The 17,486-nt window shown below is 44.9% G+C and overlaps 1 long non-coding RNA gene across 4 annotated transcripts; it reads right to left on the bottom strand.

Moving 5' to 3' along the window:
- Positions 1 to 5,052: 5,052 nt before the first annotated feature.
- LOC102724955 (uncharacterized) lies at positions 5,053 to 11,890 on the bottom strand. Of its 4 annotated transcripts, XR_001739643.2 has the most exons (4): positions 11,697 to 11,890; positions 7,407 to 7,487; positions 6,295 to 6,467; positions 5,053 to 5,181 (listed from the first exon to the last, which is right to left on the bottom strand). It is a non-coding gene; the product is annotated as an uncharacterized LOC102724955 (long non-coding RNA). The 4 variants fall into 4 exon arrangements; XR_923207.3 differs by lacking the exon at positions 5,053 to 5,181 and having other exon boundaries at positions 6,264 to 6,467; XR_427158.4 differs by lacking the exons at positions 5,053 to 5,181; positions 11,697 to 11,890 and adding an exon at positions 9,955 to 10,128 and having other exon boundaries at positions 6,264 to 6,467.
- Positions 11,891 to 17,486: the final 5,596 nt, after the last annotated feature.

Genomic DNA, 17,486 nt, shown 5'->3' with positions numbered 1-17,486 from the left:
GGCTCACGCCTGTAATCCTAACACTTTGGGAGGCCAAGGCAGATGGATCACCTGAGGTCAGGAGTTCAAGACCAGCCTGACCAACATGGTGAAACCCCATCTCTACTAAAAATGCAAAATTAACTGGGCATGGTGGTGCATGCCTGTAATCCCAGCTACTCGGGAGGCTGAGGCAGGAGAATCGCTTGAACCCAGGAGGCGGAGGTTGCGGTGAGCCAAGATGGCACCATTACACTCCAGGCTGGGCAACAAGAGCGAAACTCGGTCTCAAATAATAATAATAATTAATTTCATCTGTTTTGTTTGTTTGTTTGTTTGTTTTTGAGACAGGGTCTCACTCTGTCGCACAGGCTGGAGCGCAATGACATGATCATAGCTCACTGCAAACTCCAACTCCTGGACTCAAGCAATCCTCCCATCTCAGCCTCCTGAGTAGCTAGGACTAAAGGCATGTCACTGTACCCAGCTAATTTTTCTGTGGAGATGGGGTCTCTCTATGTTGCCCAGTCTGGCTCAAACTCCTGGGCTCAAGCAATCCTCCCACCTCAGCCTCCAAAAGTGCTAGGATTACAGGCATGAGCCACCTTACCCAGCTTGCCTGTTTCTTTTTAAAATGTGGCTTCTAGAGAAATTACAGTTACATATGGGCTCATATTATGTTCCTACTGGACAGTACTGGTACAGCAATGAGCTACTTGGATGGATGGAGTTATTAGAACTCTATTTCTTCTGTTCTCTTCTCCTTGAATCTTGCAGAATGTGGCACAGGCAGAAGGAGGCTTGAAAAATCCCTGTCCAAAATAAAAGTCTTAGGTTTTTCATCTGAAAGAGTCAGATACTCCAGCTACCTCCACTTCCCACCCCTCAATGCAGATAAACAAACAGGCGTGAGCCACCGGGCTATTTATGATTTTGACAACTGCTCTCCAAAATGTTGTAACTTTCCACCCCTCCAGCAATACATGAGAGTACCCATTTCTTCAACCCTTCCTAATACAATTGGGGTTCTATCATTTTCTTCATCTTTGCCAGTTTAATAGGTAAAACTTCCCCTTCTGTGCTTACTGCAGAAAACTGAAACTTGTTCCTGGGTTACTGACCATATGTCTTAGTTTTTAATAACTTTCCTCATCCTACCTTTTCTTTGCCCATTTTTTCTTCTGAAGTCTATTGTCTTCTCATTTCTATGAGCTCTTTGCATATTAAGGACATTAATTCCTTGTCTCACATGCTGCAGCTCTTATTAGTCTTTTATATTGTCTGCGTAGTGTTTTTTTATGATTATTGAGTTAAACCTCTGAGTACTTCCTTTACGTTTGTGCTTTGTGTGGTTAGAAAAATCTTTACACCATAAGGATGAACTTATCTGTGTTTTCTTCTAAATTTATTATGGATCTTATTAATGATTCCACTTATTAAAATTTAGGTTTTACCTGACTTGAAATTATTTAAGTTGTGGTATGATTCAGAATCTAACTTCGTTTTCCTCTCCCAAATGGCTAGCCAGTTGTTCCCACTATCTCATGTATCCCAAGACTTCACCACAGTGACACTGTGGGACGTTTTGGGCTGGGTAATTCTTTGCTGTGGGAGGCTATTCTTGCACTGTAGGATGTTTAGCAGCGCCTCTGACCTCTATCAGATTCCAGTTGCATCCCCTCAGTTGTGACAACCAAAAATGTCTCCAGACATTGCTAAGTGCTCCCAGGGAGACAAAACCACCCACAGTTGAGAATCTTTCCTTTTCCCAGTGATTTAAAATATCACTTTTACCACACAGTAAATTCCCATATATCATATATCCTTGCGTCTATTTCAGGCCTTTCTATTCTGTTCCAATGAGTTGATGTCTATTCTTGGACTAGTAGCACCAAACTGTTTGCATTATTGCAGTTTTGTATTAACTTTTAAATCAGTTTATGTTCTTGCTCTCCCCACCTCTTTCTTTTTTTTAATCCACCACAGAGGACAGTTAATCTTTTTGAGCTATCAGGTGAGAATGCAACAAGAGAGACCCACGCAGAATCTGGGGCAAGGGAGAGCCCCACCTTCGAGTCAGGGAGTTGCACATTGGGTGGGACCAGCAGGCGCATAGCTGCCTGAGGCTGATAGGAGAAAGGGCGCCTGATAGGACCTGGAAGCCTATCTCCAGGGTCATCTGGTAAACCTGGCGGGAAGGAGCTACAGAAAACAAAAACAGGAAGTGGGGCAGTGTTTTGAGCTGCTGGTATTACTAAGTCAGGATGGAGAAAGAATGGGGATGGGAGGACAGGATCTTTGTGATTATTTACAGGGTATCTAGGCTTCCGTTGTTTCACAAGTAGTTAAATAAAGCCCACTAGGGAATTAACCGTTCAAGCCTCAGTTATGTCTAATGGGCATGACTGATGGTACACTCCCTCAGGACAGGGAATTTCGGTCCCCCTCATGTCTGGAAGGGACGGTCCCACCTCTTCCAGCAACTACTGGGATGTGCAGCTCAGGGCGGCCTGTCCCGAGGAGCCCACAGCAAGGGCTGCCAGCATTTCAGTTCTGTCTTCTCAGAAGGGCCTAGCCTTTGTTACCAAGTTGTTTCCCCCATGCCAGGGGCTGGAGCTTTGTCTCTGACCATCCAACAGCTCAGAGAGAAGTAGTGACTGGTATCCCAGGGGTACCAGTTAGGATGGTTTCAGTTTCAAGAAACGAAAAGCACAACTCAAACTGGCTTAAACAATAAAAGAAATGTATAGGCCCACATCACAGAAAAGTCCGCAGGAAGGCTTCATCCAACAGCTCAATGATGTTGCCAGGACCCATTGCTTTCCTTGGCTCCCTGCTGTCTTCCCCATGGGAGTGGCATCCTGGGTACAGGCCTGGACTCCTGTGTTCTCCAGAGGAACACCTGGGGCTGCATGCTCTCCTTTTAAAAGCAGCAGAGCCGGGCGCGGTGGCTCACGCCTGTAATCCCAGCACTTTGGGAGGCCGAGGAGGGCGGATCATGAGTTCAGGAGATCGAGACCATCCTGACTAACATGGTGAAACCCCGTCTCTACTAAAAATACAATAAATTAGCCGGGCATGGTGGCGGGCACCTGTAGTCCCAGCTACTCTGGAGGCTGAGGCAGGAGAATGGCGTGAACCCGGGAGGCGGAGCTCGCAGTGAGCCGAGGTCGCACCACTGCCCTCCAGCCTGGGCGACAGAGCGAGACTCCATTTCAAAAAAAAAGCAGCAGAAAGTTCTTTGCTCCAAAATCCCCGCAAAAGTCCTGAGATTCACCCTGAATGGACTAGAGTTGTTCACATGCCCATCCCGGAAGACAGAATTGGCATGCCTTGATGGGCTTAGAGCTGGAATCACTGAAGTCCCCCACTGGAAGTCTGAGCCTGTTGGGAAGGGGAAAAGGAAGAGGGAACGGATGCCGGGATATCCACAAGTGTCCACTGCATCAAACTTCCCAAAGGGATTGACTCTTTGTTCGGGGCTCAGTCTTTTAAAATGTTAATCTGACTGGGCCGATGCACCTAAATAATAATAATAAATCCTCCTCAACCCCTCGGTATCCCTGGTTCCTAAATCATCCAGCAACACCCCCACTGGAAGTCTGAGCCTGCTGGGAAGGGGAAAGGGAAGAGGGAACAGATGCCGGGATATCCACAAGTATCCACTGCATCAAACTTCCCAAAGAGACACAAAAGGAAGCAGTCTCCAAATACTGGTGTCATTCGAGAAGCTTTGCTTCCTATGTCTTCAACAGTCTCCTAATATCATCTGCCTCTGTCAGGCAAAGCCAGGTTCTTGCTGCACGTGCTGGCCAGTCCCTCAATGAAGCGCACACACAAAGCTCTAAGTGACGGGGTTCCCGTGACAAATGTTTTTTCTGGGAAATAATTGTGGCTATTACAGCAAAAAGTGCCCTGATGAAGCAAGCTGGTCTGCCATAGCCACTGCCTTCCTGAGATGCTTGGCTGCGCCTGGGTGACAGGAGGGCTCCTCAGGAGGAACCCAGCAATGAAGCAAGTCCTAGCCTAGCGCCAGCCCAGTGGCTTTGCAAAGGTAATGCCTGGACAGCCTCTGCTGCTCTCCAAAACATGTTTCTCAACACAGGTCCCAGCAGTTTTGTGTCACCATCAAGTAGATCAGCAGCTCCTACCCATGACATCTGCTCTGCTCGGCATAAAGTTCTGCAAGGTGTGGTGGAGGCCAAAAGGATAGAAGATGAGCCCTCTCTTTCACAGAGGCAGGGGGCAAAGCAAGGCTTGACCTGTTATGGTACCAGCATGCCTGAAGATTCCCTCAGCGGTCAGGGTAGACCAAGCTGCTACAGGCAATGGGTTGCACTGGGAAAGCCAGCATTGCATGCCAGGCATTCAGAAAACGGCAGCAATATCAATGCCATTTTAATTATGCTTGCACCTCAAGACTGTTTTGTTTTGTTCGTTTTTTTGAGACAGGGTTCCACTCTGTCACCCAGGCTGGAGTGCAGTGGTGTGATCTCGGCTCACTGCGGCCTCAAACTCCTGGGCTCAAGTAGTCCTCCCTCCTCACTTCCCAAGTAACTGGGACTATAGGCCTGTGCCACCAGGCTGGCCTATCAGACTGTTTTATTTATTTGTTTATTTATTTTATTTTATTTTTTGAGACAGAGTTTTGCTCAGGCTGGAGTGCAGTGGTGCAGTCTCGGCTCACTGCAACCTCTGCCTCCCGGGTTCAAGCAATTCTCCTGCCTAGCCTCCCGAGTAGCTGGGATTACAAGCTCCCACCACCATGCCCAGCTAATTGTTCTATTTTCAGTGGAGACGGGGTTTTACCATGTTGGCCTGGTCTCAAACTTCTGACTTCAAGTGAGCCGCCCACCTTGGCCTCCCAAAGTGCTGGGATTACAGGTGTGAGCCGCCGCGCCTGGCCTATCAGACTGTTTTAAATCCAACACTTCACCTTAGGAGATCTCACCAAGAGTACAAGGCTCCAGCAATAAAACCCCAGAAATGGGTAACAGAGGCATTTCTACAAAGCCCCAAATCACCTCCCTTGTGCTTTATTTTCCTTCTCCTTCAATCACCTGCTGATTTTTATTGACTTTGAAGACCCTAGAAGCACAGGTCACAGGTTCTGTGGTAGGGACTCCGGTCTCTGAACACATGTAGAATCTCAGTCTCTGTGGTATCCAGATCTTCTGCCGGCTGCATGCTTTTCAGGAGGAGCTATTGCCAAAGCACACACCAAAATGGTTTCAATGGTCCGTAAATAATTTTCCATGCACTCAGATTCTCCTTAGGAGGAGCAATCCAATTGGCATCTAGTAGTCTCATTTGTCTTAGATTTGGAAATGCTCCCACCTTACTGGTTGGAAGTTTTCTCTGTGTGTGGGCACCTGGTAAACTGTCTCCGCTTTGCTTTCACTTTCCCCACCACTGCACTGGTACATTCCCTAATGTTCTGGCCGTGTGACCTTGGATTGCCTTCTTTACCTCTACAATGCCTTAGTCCTCTCATCTGTAAGATCAAACTTCCAGATTGAGTTATTGCAAAGAGTAAATAAGTGAAAGCAAATGAGTGTTAAATTAAAGCAGGCCAGGTGAGGTGGCTCATGCCTGTAATCCCAGCACTTTGGGAGGCTGAGGAGGGGGATCACCTGAGGTCAGGAGTTTGAGACCAGCCTGGCCAACATGGTGAAACCCTATCTCTACTAAAAATGCAAAAAGTAGCCAGGCTTGGTGGTACACTCCTGTAATCACAGCTACTCGGGAGTCTGAGGCAGGAGAACTGCTTGAACCTGGGAGGCGGAGGTTGCAGTGAGCCAAGATCATGCCACTGCACTACAGCCCAGGTGACAAGAGCGAAACTCTGCCTCAAAAAAAAAAATAAACAAAAAATTAATTAAGGCAAGCTATGACTAATTTCATACCACTGTAATTACTGTCTGATTTCCATTGGCCAATCCCATCTAAAAATGACATGACACGAGAAATCTAAATTATATCTATTTCATAATTACATATTTAATTACAAATTAAATATGCACTTAAAGCAAATACTAGAACGGAACATAGAAAAATAACAAGAGTAGATTGAGACTCGCAGGTAGGTGATTTATAATGTACCATTTCTATAACGGGAAAAGTAAACTCCAAAGAATTGTATTGGTTAGAACTAAAATTTTGAAATGCATTAAATATACATATTTTGTGATATCTATGAATGATAAAAACATCTTCCCTTCAGCACCTGCCTTAGCTAGAGCTCTGATATCTATTATTACATAACAATCTATATCAAAACTTAGTGGCTTAAAACCAGCAATTTATTTTGCCTACATTTGGAGGATCAGGGATTTGAGAAGGGCTCAGTTTGGCTGCTCTTCTCGGCTCACATGGCATCAGTTGGAGTGTTTCAGCTGGGGCTGTAGAATCACCTTCCAAGACTGCTTGCTCACACGGCTGGCAGGCTGGGGCTGGCTGTTGGCTCACAGCTCTGCCAAGGATGTTGGCTGGAGAGAGAAGGGGAAAGAGATCTTGATTCCTCTCCATGAATCTGCTTGGACTACCTCACAACACAGCAGTCTCAGGGTAGTCAGGCTTCTTTTATGGAAGCTACTTTTCCCCAGGGCAAGTGTTCCAAGACACAGGAAGTGGAAGCTGCCAGACTCCTAAGACCTGAACCTGGAAACTGGCAGTCGCTTCTACCAAATTCTATGACTCACAGCAGTTAGAGCCCATCCAGTTTTAAGGAGCGGGGACATAGATCCCACCTCTATGGGAAGAGTGTCAAAGAAACTGGCCATTCTTAAATTGTCACAGTTAGCCAGGCACCGTGGCACACCTGTAGCCTCAGCTACTTGGGAGGCTGAAATGGGAGGATCGCTTGAGCCCAGGAGTTGGAGTCTGCAGTAAGCTGTGATGGCACTACTGCACTCCAGCCTGGACAACACAGTGAGACCTCATCTCTTTAAAAAAATTTTTTTTAATTGTCATAGTTATTCTTTTCTTTCCTTTCCTTTTTTTTTTTTCTTTTTTTGAGACAGAGTCTGGCTCTGTCACCCAAGTTGGAGAGCAATGGCGTGATCTCGGCTCACTGCTACCTCCGCCTCTTGGGTTCAGCCTCCCAAGTAGCTGGGATTACAGGCACCTGCCACCACACCCAGTGAATTTTTGTATTTTTATTAGAGACGGGGTTTCACCATATTGGCCAGGCTGTTCTCGAACTCCTGACCTCAAGCGATCCACCCGAATCAGCCTCCCAAAGTGCTGGGATTACAGGCGTGAGCCACTGTGCCCGGTCAGTTATCCTTTTCTTGTGCCAGCCTTGCCTGCTGGTGCCACAGACAGGCCATTGCCAGCATTTCTTGCCTTACATACTTCTTTATGTGCTTTCTCCCCCATTCCTATTACTCCTTCCTAACTCCTGGTCCTTGACCCTTCTCTCATACCTGGTGATACTCATCTCCAGCTACAGGTTCAGAAGCTCTACTGTGTTCCAGTGACTTCATGCAGCTCAAGAGCTTTGGAATCTGGCAGACATGGGTTAGAACCAACTCTTTTAATTATTTGCTGTGTCCCTGGAAAAGTTGCTTAATATCTGACACATAGTTTCTTTGCCTGAAATAAAACTTATATCCTATGAGGTATCATAGGATTGTTGGGAGAATTTAGAAATAATGTATTTGGCAAAAATGTTTAAGTCTGACAATACCAAGTGTTGGTAAAGGCATAGAACTGAAACTCTTACACACTGCTAATGAGAGTTTAAACTGGTTCAATTTTCTGACCTATTTGGCAATATCTGATAAGATTATAAATGAACATATACTATAGTACAGTATATACTATATACGCATATAATATATACTAGGTTTTGATGGTTTTTTTGTTTGTTTGTTTTTTGAAACAGGGTCTGGCTCTATCATCCAAGCTGGAGTGCAGTGGTGCCGTCTCGGCTCACTGCAACCTCTGCCACCCAGGCTGAAGCCATCCTCCCACCTCAGCCTCCCAAATAGCTGGGACTACAGGCATGCACCACCACACCTGGCTAATTTTATGCATTTTTTGTAGAGATAGGGTTTTGCCATGTTGCTCAGACTGGTCTTGAACTTGTAAGCTGAAGTGATCCGCCTGCCTCGGCCTCCCAAAGTGCTGGGATTACAGGCATGAGCCACCGTGCCCAGCCTTACTGTATTATATTACAATATAATACAACAATTCTACTCCTAGATTTAGATTTTAGAGAAACTCTGAAACAGGTGTCCAAGGAACCCCATATAAGAATGGTAAGGAAAGTACTCTTTAATTGAAATTAAAAGAATCTCACTACAATGCTAAGCAAAAACAAGTAAATTGTACAACAATACATATAGTGTGAGATCATTTACACGTGGCTTAAAACATGCAAAAGAGTGTGATATTTTATTTAGTTATATGGATATAACCAATATATATTTTATATATAACTATACATAATATACATATTTATCTTATATATTTAGCTATATATATATGTGTGTGATAAAAGTAAAAAGAAATAATAAACACCAAATTCAGTCAAAACCAATCTAAGCCCTGGAATTTTTTTTTTTTTTTTTTTGAGATGGAATTTCGCTCTTGTTGCCCAGGTTGGAGTGCAATGGCCTGATGCCGGCTCACCGCAACCTCCGCTTCCCGGGTTCAAGCGATTCTCGTGCCTCAGCCTCCTGAGTATCTGGGATTACAGGCATGCGCCACTACGCCTGGCTCATTTTTTTTGTATTTCTAGTAGAGACAGCGTTTCACCCTGTTGGTCAGGCTGGTCTTGAACTCCTAACCTCAAATGATCCATCCACCTCGGCCTCCCAAAGTGCTGGGAGTACAGACGTGAGCCACCGCACCCGGCCTAGCTCTGGAATCTTAAGCTGTATGGTGGGAACCAAAGTGTTCATTATTTTATTCTTTCTTTTTTTTTTTTTTTCTGAGATGGAGTTTTGCTTTGCCACCCAGGCTGGAGTGCAGTGGCATGATCTCGGCTCACTGCAACCTCCGCCTCCTGGGTTCAAGCAATTCTTCCGCCTCAGCCTCCACAGTAGCTGGGATTACAGGCGCCCGCCACCATGCCCAGCTAATTTTTGTATTTTTTAGTAGAGATGGGTTTTCACCATGTTAGCCAGGCTGGTCTGGAAACCCTGACCTCAGGTGCTCCGCCCGCCTTGGCCTCTCAAAGTGCTAGAATTACAGGCATGAGCCACCACACCTGGCCATTATTCTTTATGCCTTTTCTATGTCTGGAATATTTCACAACTTTTAAAAGTTTTAAGGACCTACTTTATATTAAGCATGTGGCACAATGCTGGGACTGTGGCCAAGGTTCAAGGCACAGTAGCAACTGCTGTCATTTCTACTGAGACCACCCCTTGTCACTTCTGCAGCTTCAGAATCCTCTCCTTCACTCCATCCTTAAGATAGAAAAAGTCGTTTCCATTTTTACAACAGCTCAAATGAGCTTGTGACTGAAGTCATGAAAAGCACTCTAAATCTGGTTACCTGGATCGGACCAGCTGAGTTAAATTGGATTTTGAGAACAGTCACTTTTTTTTTTGAAGGTGAGCAATCTAATGTATAAATATGCCATGTGGTCAAACACTAACGATGGACAGATTTTTGAAAGTGCTGATTTGAAAGCAAGACATGCCAATCTTCCTGGTTCAGTCCTTTCATTTCTATCCAACGGATTGAAACAAGGAGCACTAATTTACCCTGTGTGGCCAATTTAGGCTGCCTGTTTCAAGCTTCTCAACTCTGCAAGCATATTGGAATGCCCAAGAGAGCTTTTGAAAATCTCGATGTTCAGTCTACAACTATATCAATCAAATCACAATGCCCTTGGATGGGACCCAGGCCTAAGCTCCGCAGGTAAGTCTAATGCACAGCTGTGTTAGTCCATTTTGCATTGCTATAAAGGAATACCTGAGGCTGGGTAATTTATAAAGAAGAGAGGTTTATTTGGCTCACAGTTCTGCAGGCTGTACAAACGTGGCACCAGCATCTGTTCGGCTTCTAGTGAGGCTACAGGAAGCTTTCACTCATAGAAGAAGGCAAAAGGGGAACAGACATGTCACACAATGAGAAAGGGAGCAAGAGAGAGAGCAGGGGGTCCCAGATCCTTTTTTGTTTAATTTTTTTAGAGATTAGGTCTCATTATATTGCCCAGGCTGGTCTCAAACTCCTGGGCTCAAGCGATCCTCCCGCCTCAGCCTCTTAAAGGGCTGAAATTGCAGGCATGAGCCACCACGCCAAGCCCCCATATTCTCTTTTTTTTTTTTTTTTTTTTTTTGAGATAGAGTTTCCCTCTTGTTGCCCAGGCTGGAGTGGAATGGTGCGATCTCGGCTCACCACAACCTCTGCCTCCTGGGTTCAAGCGATTCTCCTGCCTCAGCCTCCCGAGTAGCTGGGATTAAAGGCACGAGCCACCATACCTGGCTAATTTTGTATTTTTAATAGAGATGGGGTTTCTCCATGTTGATCAGGCTGGTCTCTAACTCCCGACCTCAGACAATCCACCTGCCTCAGCCTCCCAAAGTGCTGGGATTACAGGTGTCAGTCAACGAGCCTGGCTTTTTTTTTTTTTTTTTTTTTTAAGATGGAGTCTCACTCTGTCACCCAAGCTAGAGTGCAGTGGCGCAGTCTCGGCTCACTGCAACCTCCACCTCCTGAGTTCAAACAATTCTCCTGCCTCAGCCTCCCAAGTAGCTGGGATTACAGGCACAGGCCATGACGCCTGGCTAATTTTTGTATTTTTAGTAGAGACGGGGTTTCATCATGTTGGCCAGGATGGTCTCAAACTCCTGACCTCAGGTAATCTGCCTGCTTCGGCCTCCCAAAGTGCTGGGATTACAGGCATGAGCCACCACGCCCAGCCCCCATATCCTTTTTAACAACCAACTGTTGATGAACTAATAGAACAAGAACTAACTCATTACCAAGGGCAGGTCACCCATTCACAAGGGATCTGACCCCATGACCCAAACACCTCCCACTAGGCCCCACCTCAAACCTTGGGGATCACTTTTCCACATGAGATTTGGAGGAGACAAACATCCAAACTATGTCAGCAGCCAAGGTTGAGAACCACTGGCCCAGTTAATCCCCCAGGACAATGACAGTCCTGAAACACCAGACACCACCTGTGAATTCAGGTTATCTTTTCCCATCCTTCCATGTGTGAAGCACTAATTCCTTCTTTTTACTTTAAGTTTTTACAATTCAAGTCAATCGTGGATTCAACTGCAGTAGTAAGACTCTCTGGGCTTAGCCCTGTGACAGAGTGCTAGCCATGGACACCAGTACTTGCTCTCCCCCAAGTCCTTATAGATAGAACTCCAACTTTGGCTGGGTATGTGGCCCATCCACTTAAAAACCACATTTCCCAGGGATGGGGGCCAGGGAGAAGGGAAAGCTCTTCTTTACCAAAGAATGCCAACTAACGGATGTACAAGGAATGAGAGAAATAGAAAATAATTTTACAACCACCTTCATAATAACTGATTCAGGTGAGATTCATTAGTAGATACTAAGGCCATTGGCAGAAAGACTGTGGCAGCATGTGACATTCACACAATCTCAAAGCATCGCCACCCCCGACCCCCAGAGAATGCATTCATTCCAAGGGGAAAAGACACTTCCACAATGGAGAAACCTGGCAGACACCGCCTTTGTGGGCTGTGAAGCAATCATATCTCAGCTCCAAACCCTACCCTCTCTGCTCTGCTGTGACGCTGGGCTGGGAACCTTCCAACATTTGCTTGCCAGGGGCTCCCCTGTTTCGCTCTGCTGAGACGGCGAGGCTGGAGAGAGGAAAAGGAACTTCCTCCGGCTCGCCTCCTGTTCCCGCAAAGGGTGACCTCACATTTCTTCACTCTGATAGCAGCAGTTCCTTCCTTTTTTTTTTTTTTTTTTTTTTGTTTGAGATGGAGACTTGCTCTGTCGCCCAGGTTGGAGTGCAGTGGCACAATCTCGGCTCACTGTAACCTCAGCCTCCTGAGTTCAAACGATTCTCCTGCCTCAGCCTCCTGAGTAGCTGGGATTACAGACACCCGCCACCATGCCCGGCTAATTTTGTATTTTTAGTAGTTTCACCATGTTGACCAGGCTGGTCTCGAACTCCTGACCTCAAGCGATCCTCCTACCTCAGCCTCTCAAAGTGCTGGGATTACAGGCGTGAGCCAGCACGCCCGGCCAGCAGTTCTTTCTGACATAGCAGTTGGGTGCTGTGTGTGGTTCTTCAGCTCTCACCAAACCAACCCCTTCATGCACCTTTTCAAGTCACCAGCTGCCTGCCTGCCCTCCTCAGCAGCCAGGGCCCAGGCCCACAGGACCCTTCCAAGCCAACACAGCAGCTCCAGCCAGGGAGTGACGCTTCCTCAGCTCTTATAGCCTCAGTGATTGCTACCTCCATAACACCTTAATGTTTGTTTCTTGCCACTTCAGTTACCTGGTTAACACTTTACACCTAGCTAACAACTCTCATTAAAGGCTCTGTTAAAATAACTCAGATTTCTGTCTCCTGACTGGATCCTGATGCAGAAATTGGAATCAGGAGTGGGATTTATATGCCACCCTCTGGCATGGAAATATATCTTACTAAGGCATCCAAATTCCTTGCTATTAGTGATGTGAACACCTTAATATCACCAACAATGAGACAACTGATATCTCTGGGTCCTTGGGTCTCGAAGTCGCAACCACATGTTGAGGATGGAACAAGATAGAAAGAGTCTGTGTTTCCATCCTGATGACCATGGAGCCACCATAATAGGCCTGGGCTTCTTTTATTTATGTAGGAGAGAAATAAACTTTCTGTTCTTTGTTATTGCAGTTTTCTGTCACTCGCAGCTCAATCTAATCCTAATTAATATAGGGCATTTAAAGGCAAATTCACCAAAATTAAATTTATTTTAGACTTAAGAAATGAAGTTACAGTGAAGGAAAATTACTTGTCACACCACAGGCAGGAAAAGGTACCTTAGAGAATCAATGTCAAGTGGAATATTACCATGTCAAGAAAAATTACATATATTTATATGGAGAATGAGGTCAGTTAATAAACACTATGAAGTGCTTATGAAGTCAGGCACTACACACATTACATGCATTATTTTATTTAATCCTCATGAAAATCCTCTGACATAAGGCACTGTTATCATCACCAGTCCTTAGACAAGAGGACTGAAGGTTGGAAAGATTAAACAACATCCCATGCCATGCAACTTGTAAGTAGTAGAGATGGAATCAGAACTCAGGTAGGCTGAGTTAATCAACTCAACTTAATCAACTGACATTAAGATCTCTGCCACCAGTGGAAACTTAGAATGTAAAGCCTTGCCAGGTGCAGTGGCTCATAGCTGTAATCCCAGCACTTTGGGAGATCAATGTGGGCCTATTGTTTAAGCTCAGGAGTTCAAGACCAACCTGGGCAACACAGAGAAACCCCGTCTCCACCAAAAATACAAAAATTAGCTGGGCATGTTGACGTGCACTTGTGGACCCAGCTACTTGGGAGGCTGAGGTGGGAGGACCACTTGAGCCTGGGAGGCAGAGGCTGCAGTGAGCCAAGATGGCACCACTGCATTCCAGCCTAGGTGACAGAGTGAGGCCCCCATCTCAATTAAAAAAAAAAAAATTTAAACCCTTTCTCTATGTGAGAAAGTAATTCTACATGAAACAAGACAACCAGTATAAAAAAAAAGATTCTAAACAGAAGTTACTCTGACCAAATCTCTATTCCCAAGCTGACAGTTTTTCCAAAAAGCTGGCAAGGCCAACCACATTTAGGCTGACGAAGAGCTTGCCAGAAGCCAAGATCTTAGCTAAAAGAAAATTAACCTCCGTTCCAAATCAATAAGGTACACATAAGGTCCATCACAGGACTGTTCAACTAATGGACAATATCGATTATTATTCCCAGAACACGGCCCCCCAAAATTTTCAAATTAAAATTTAATTCAATAAAGGCTTCTAGAAAAAGAGATCAATAGGCACTTATTCTTATGGGCTGACATGAGATCTCCAATGGGCCTTGTATACAGCACAGCTCTCCCCGGGATTTCCAAAGTTCTATTATCTTCAGTGCTAAACTAAAAAGTACTAGTTCACATTAGGAACCAAACTGGCAACTGGGATGCCAACTATTATTTTGCAAAGCAGGACACAGTTAGTTGAAAATTGTATTTTTCCAATTAGCACAGCAGGAAACACTGCTGAGACATTCATCCCAAGCCTGCAATTAGAGAACATTTGCTTGCTTCTAGAAATAGAATGAATGGGAAGTAGAGACCTGCTATCTAGGTCTTCGGCAATAATATCCTGGGAGGGGAGATCTTGCTACCATTTCAGCAGTTCCCAGAAAATAAGCATCTTGCTCCTTTTAATAAATGCAGTATCATTCTCCAGTGCACCACAGTGTGTTAGGAAGAAACTAAGAAATCCAGCAACAAAAGGGGTTTACACAAAACCCTTATCATTAGAAAGGTAAGTACAACTGCCGATGAGCAGCTCTAATGTTTTATTTTATAGTTGTTTTAAAAATCTATTAATAGCTGGGCACAGTGGCTCACGCCTGTAATCCCAGCACTTTGGGAGGCCAAGGCAGGCGAATCGTGAGGTCAAGAGTTTGAGACCAACCTGGCCAACATGGTGAAACCCCGTTTCTACTAAAAATGCAAAAATTAGCTGGGCATGGTGGCACGTGCCTGTAGTCCCAGCTACTCGGGAGACTGAGGCAGGAGGATCGCTTGAACCTGGGAGGTGGAGGTTGCAGTGAGCCCAGATCATGCCACTGCACTCCAGCCTGGGTGACAGAATGAGACTCTGTCTCAAAAAAAAAAAAAAAAAAAAAAAAAAAAACCATTAATAATGTCTCAAAAGTCTCCACCTGTCACAAAAGGAAGTTTGGGCTGAGCACCTCCACAATCTCCAGCTAGCTGGCCTTCCCTGGCTCTTCAAATACAGTACTTCATTGTATGTGAGGCAAAACAATGGAAGCTTGAAGAATTTAGATCTCTCTCAAGCAGAGGTAAAGATAAGGCAGAGAACAGTGTTAAAAAGAGAAACAACTTTCACACCATGGGGTATCAGTTCAGTAACCTCATCAAAATTTGGAGCACTAAATTAAGATTTTGGTGTGAGCCAAGAGAAAACCCATTGGTTACTAAGATATTTGCTCTATATACCCCGCACAAACATTACAATGGAGAAAGGGTTTTCATAGACTAGGCATCCCCATACCATTAGATTTTACAGAGGACACTACAACTCAGCTTTAATGAATAAGTCTAACTTTGTACCTTTGGTCTTTAAGCAGCTTTATATTACATGAAGGTGAAAGAGGTATACAGTGAGAACAAATCCTTTTATTTCCCCCAATCAGGAAATGATTTGTTGAAAGCCCTAGCTTGGCCCAAAGTTTACCTCCAGCTTGTAACACTTATGGTAACTTGCAGGTAAACACGTGCATGATTGTGTAACATCTATTTAGATTGGTGCAAAAGTAATTGCGGTTTTTGCCATTACCTTCAATGGCAAGAACCGCAATTACTATTGCACCAACTTGACTATCTAGTTCTCAGTGACTACAGGAGGTTAACCAGATGATTCAACACTGATATTTATTCTGTGAAATAAACTATTTAATTTCTAGACAACACAGGGGCTTTACTAATAAACAGCTTCATCTCTCAGAAAGATCATGCAAGTATGTATGTGTGCATATGTACACATATGCATAGACAAAATGCCTATGAAGGTTTGCCAACTATTGCCAGTGGTTTCCTTTGGATAATGAGACTAGGAAACAGGAAAGCAAGCAAGACTCATTCATTCTTTACTTTCTTTTTTTTGTTTGTTTGTTTTTGGTTTTTGAGACTGAGTCCCACTTTGTCACCCAGGCTGGAGTGCAGTGGCATGATCTCGGCTTACTGCAAACTCTGCCTCCTGAGTTCAAGCGATTCTCCTGTCTCAGACTCCCGAGTAGCTAGGATTATAGGCATGCACCACCACACCCAGCTAATTTTTGTATTCTTAGTATTTTGTATTTTGTATTCACCATGTTGGCCAGGCTGGTCTTGAGCTCTTGACCTCAAGCAATCTGCCCTCCTCAGCCTCCCAAAGTGCTGGGATTACAGGCGTGAGCCACCACGCCCAGCCTATTCTCTACTTTCTATACCTAATTGTTCAAAAAACTTTTCAATGTAAACATTCCAATAAATGTTTCACTTAAAAAAAATACTACTAAAGCCGGGCACAGTGGCTCACACCTGTAATCCCAGCACTTTGTGGGGCTGAGTCAGGTGGATCACCTGAGGTCAAGAGTCCAGGTCCAGCTTGGCCAACATGGTGAAACCCTGTCTCTACTAAAAATACAAAAAAAAGCCAGGTGTGGTGGTGGACTCCTGTAATCCCAGCTACTCAGGAGGCTGAGGCAGAATCACTTGAACCTGTGAGTCAGAGGCTGCAATGAGCCGAGATTCCACCTCTGCACTCCAGCCTGGGCAACAGAGCAGGATTCCAACTCAATAAATAAATAAATAAATACTACTAAAATACCAACTAGTCAAGAATTTCCAGGGGAAGACACACTGAAACATTTACCTTCACTCCCTTAGGGCAGTGGAGGAATATTGTAGAGGCATAGTGAACAGGCGAGGAAACAAAACCTCAAAATTGTGGAAGCTTAGATAGCAGATGGAAAGACTCGGCTGACCCCAGAAGGCTGAAGCTAAGCTGGCCACTAAAAGGCTCGGAAGTTGGAGTCTCAAGTAACTTGGAAGAGAAACAAAGGATGGGCTAGAACCAGTAAGACTGAAAGTCTAAGAAGCAGTTTGGCCAGATGGAGTATCAGATGATATTAAAGAATTAGTAGGGCCGGGCACAATGGCTCACACCTGTAATCCCAACACTTTGGGATGCCAAGGTGGGTTGGGCACGTGAGGTCAGAAGTTCAAGACCAGCCTGGCCGATATGGTGAAACCCCGTCTCTACTAAAAATACAAAATTAGCCAGGCGTGGTGGCGCATGCCTGTAATCCCAGCTACTCAGGAGGCTGAGGCAGGAGAATCACTTGAACCCAGGAGGCGGAGGTTGCAGTGAGCCGAGATCGCGCCATTGCACTCCAGCCTGGGCAACAAGAGCGAAACTCTGTCTCAAAAACAACAACAACAAACTGTGTTAAAAATGTACAGGGAAATTTAAAAATAGCAAAACCACTATTTATTTAGTACCTGTAATTTAAAACATTAGACATATTGGGACTAAGCATTTTTGGATCAGCATCCAGTATTTTGCCCTTTGGGCTCTCGGTGTTGTAAATTAACTCCAAGAGGTCTGTTAAGGTGAAGTTTTTGCCAGCATCGCCTCTGGGACGCGTATGTTCTCTTTATCACAATCACTTTCTTCATTTTTGTTGTTAAATTTACCTTCGCTAACTTCCTCTGGCTGCCTGTCTAGAATCTCTCAAACAGCAGCCTGATCAACTTCCCATGGTCAAATGT

The sequence above is a fragment of the Homo sapiens genome, chromosome 2 (genome assembly GCF_000001405.40).
Source record: "Homo sapiens chromosome 2, GRCh38.p14 Primary Assembly".
NCBI classification, from domain to species: Eukaryota; Metazoa; Chordata; class Mammalia; order Primates; family Hominidae; genus Homo; species Homo sapiens.
Note: the sequence above shows the minus strand (reverse complement) of the source record. Positions and strands in the feature narration are given on the sequence as shown.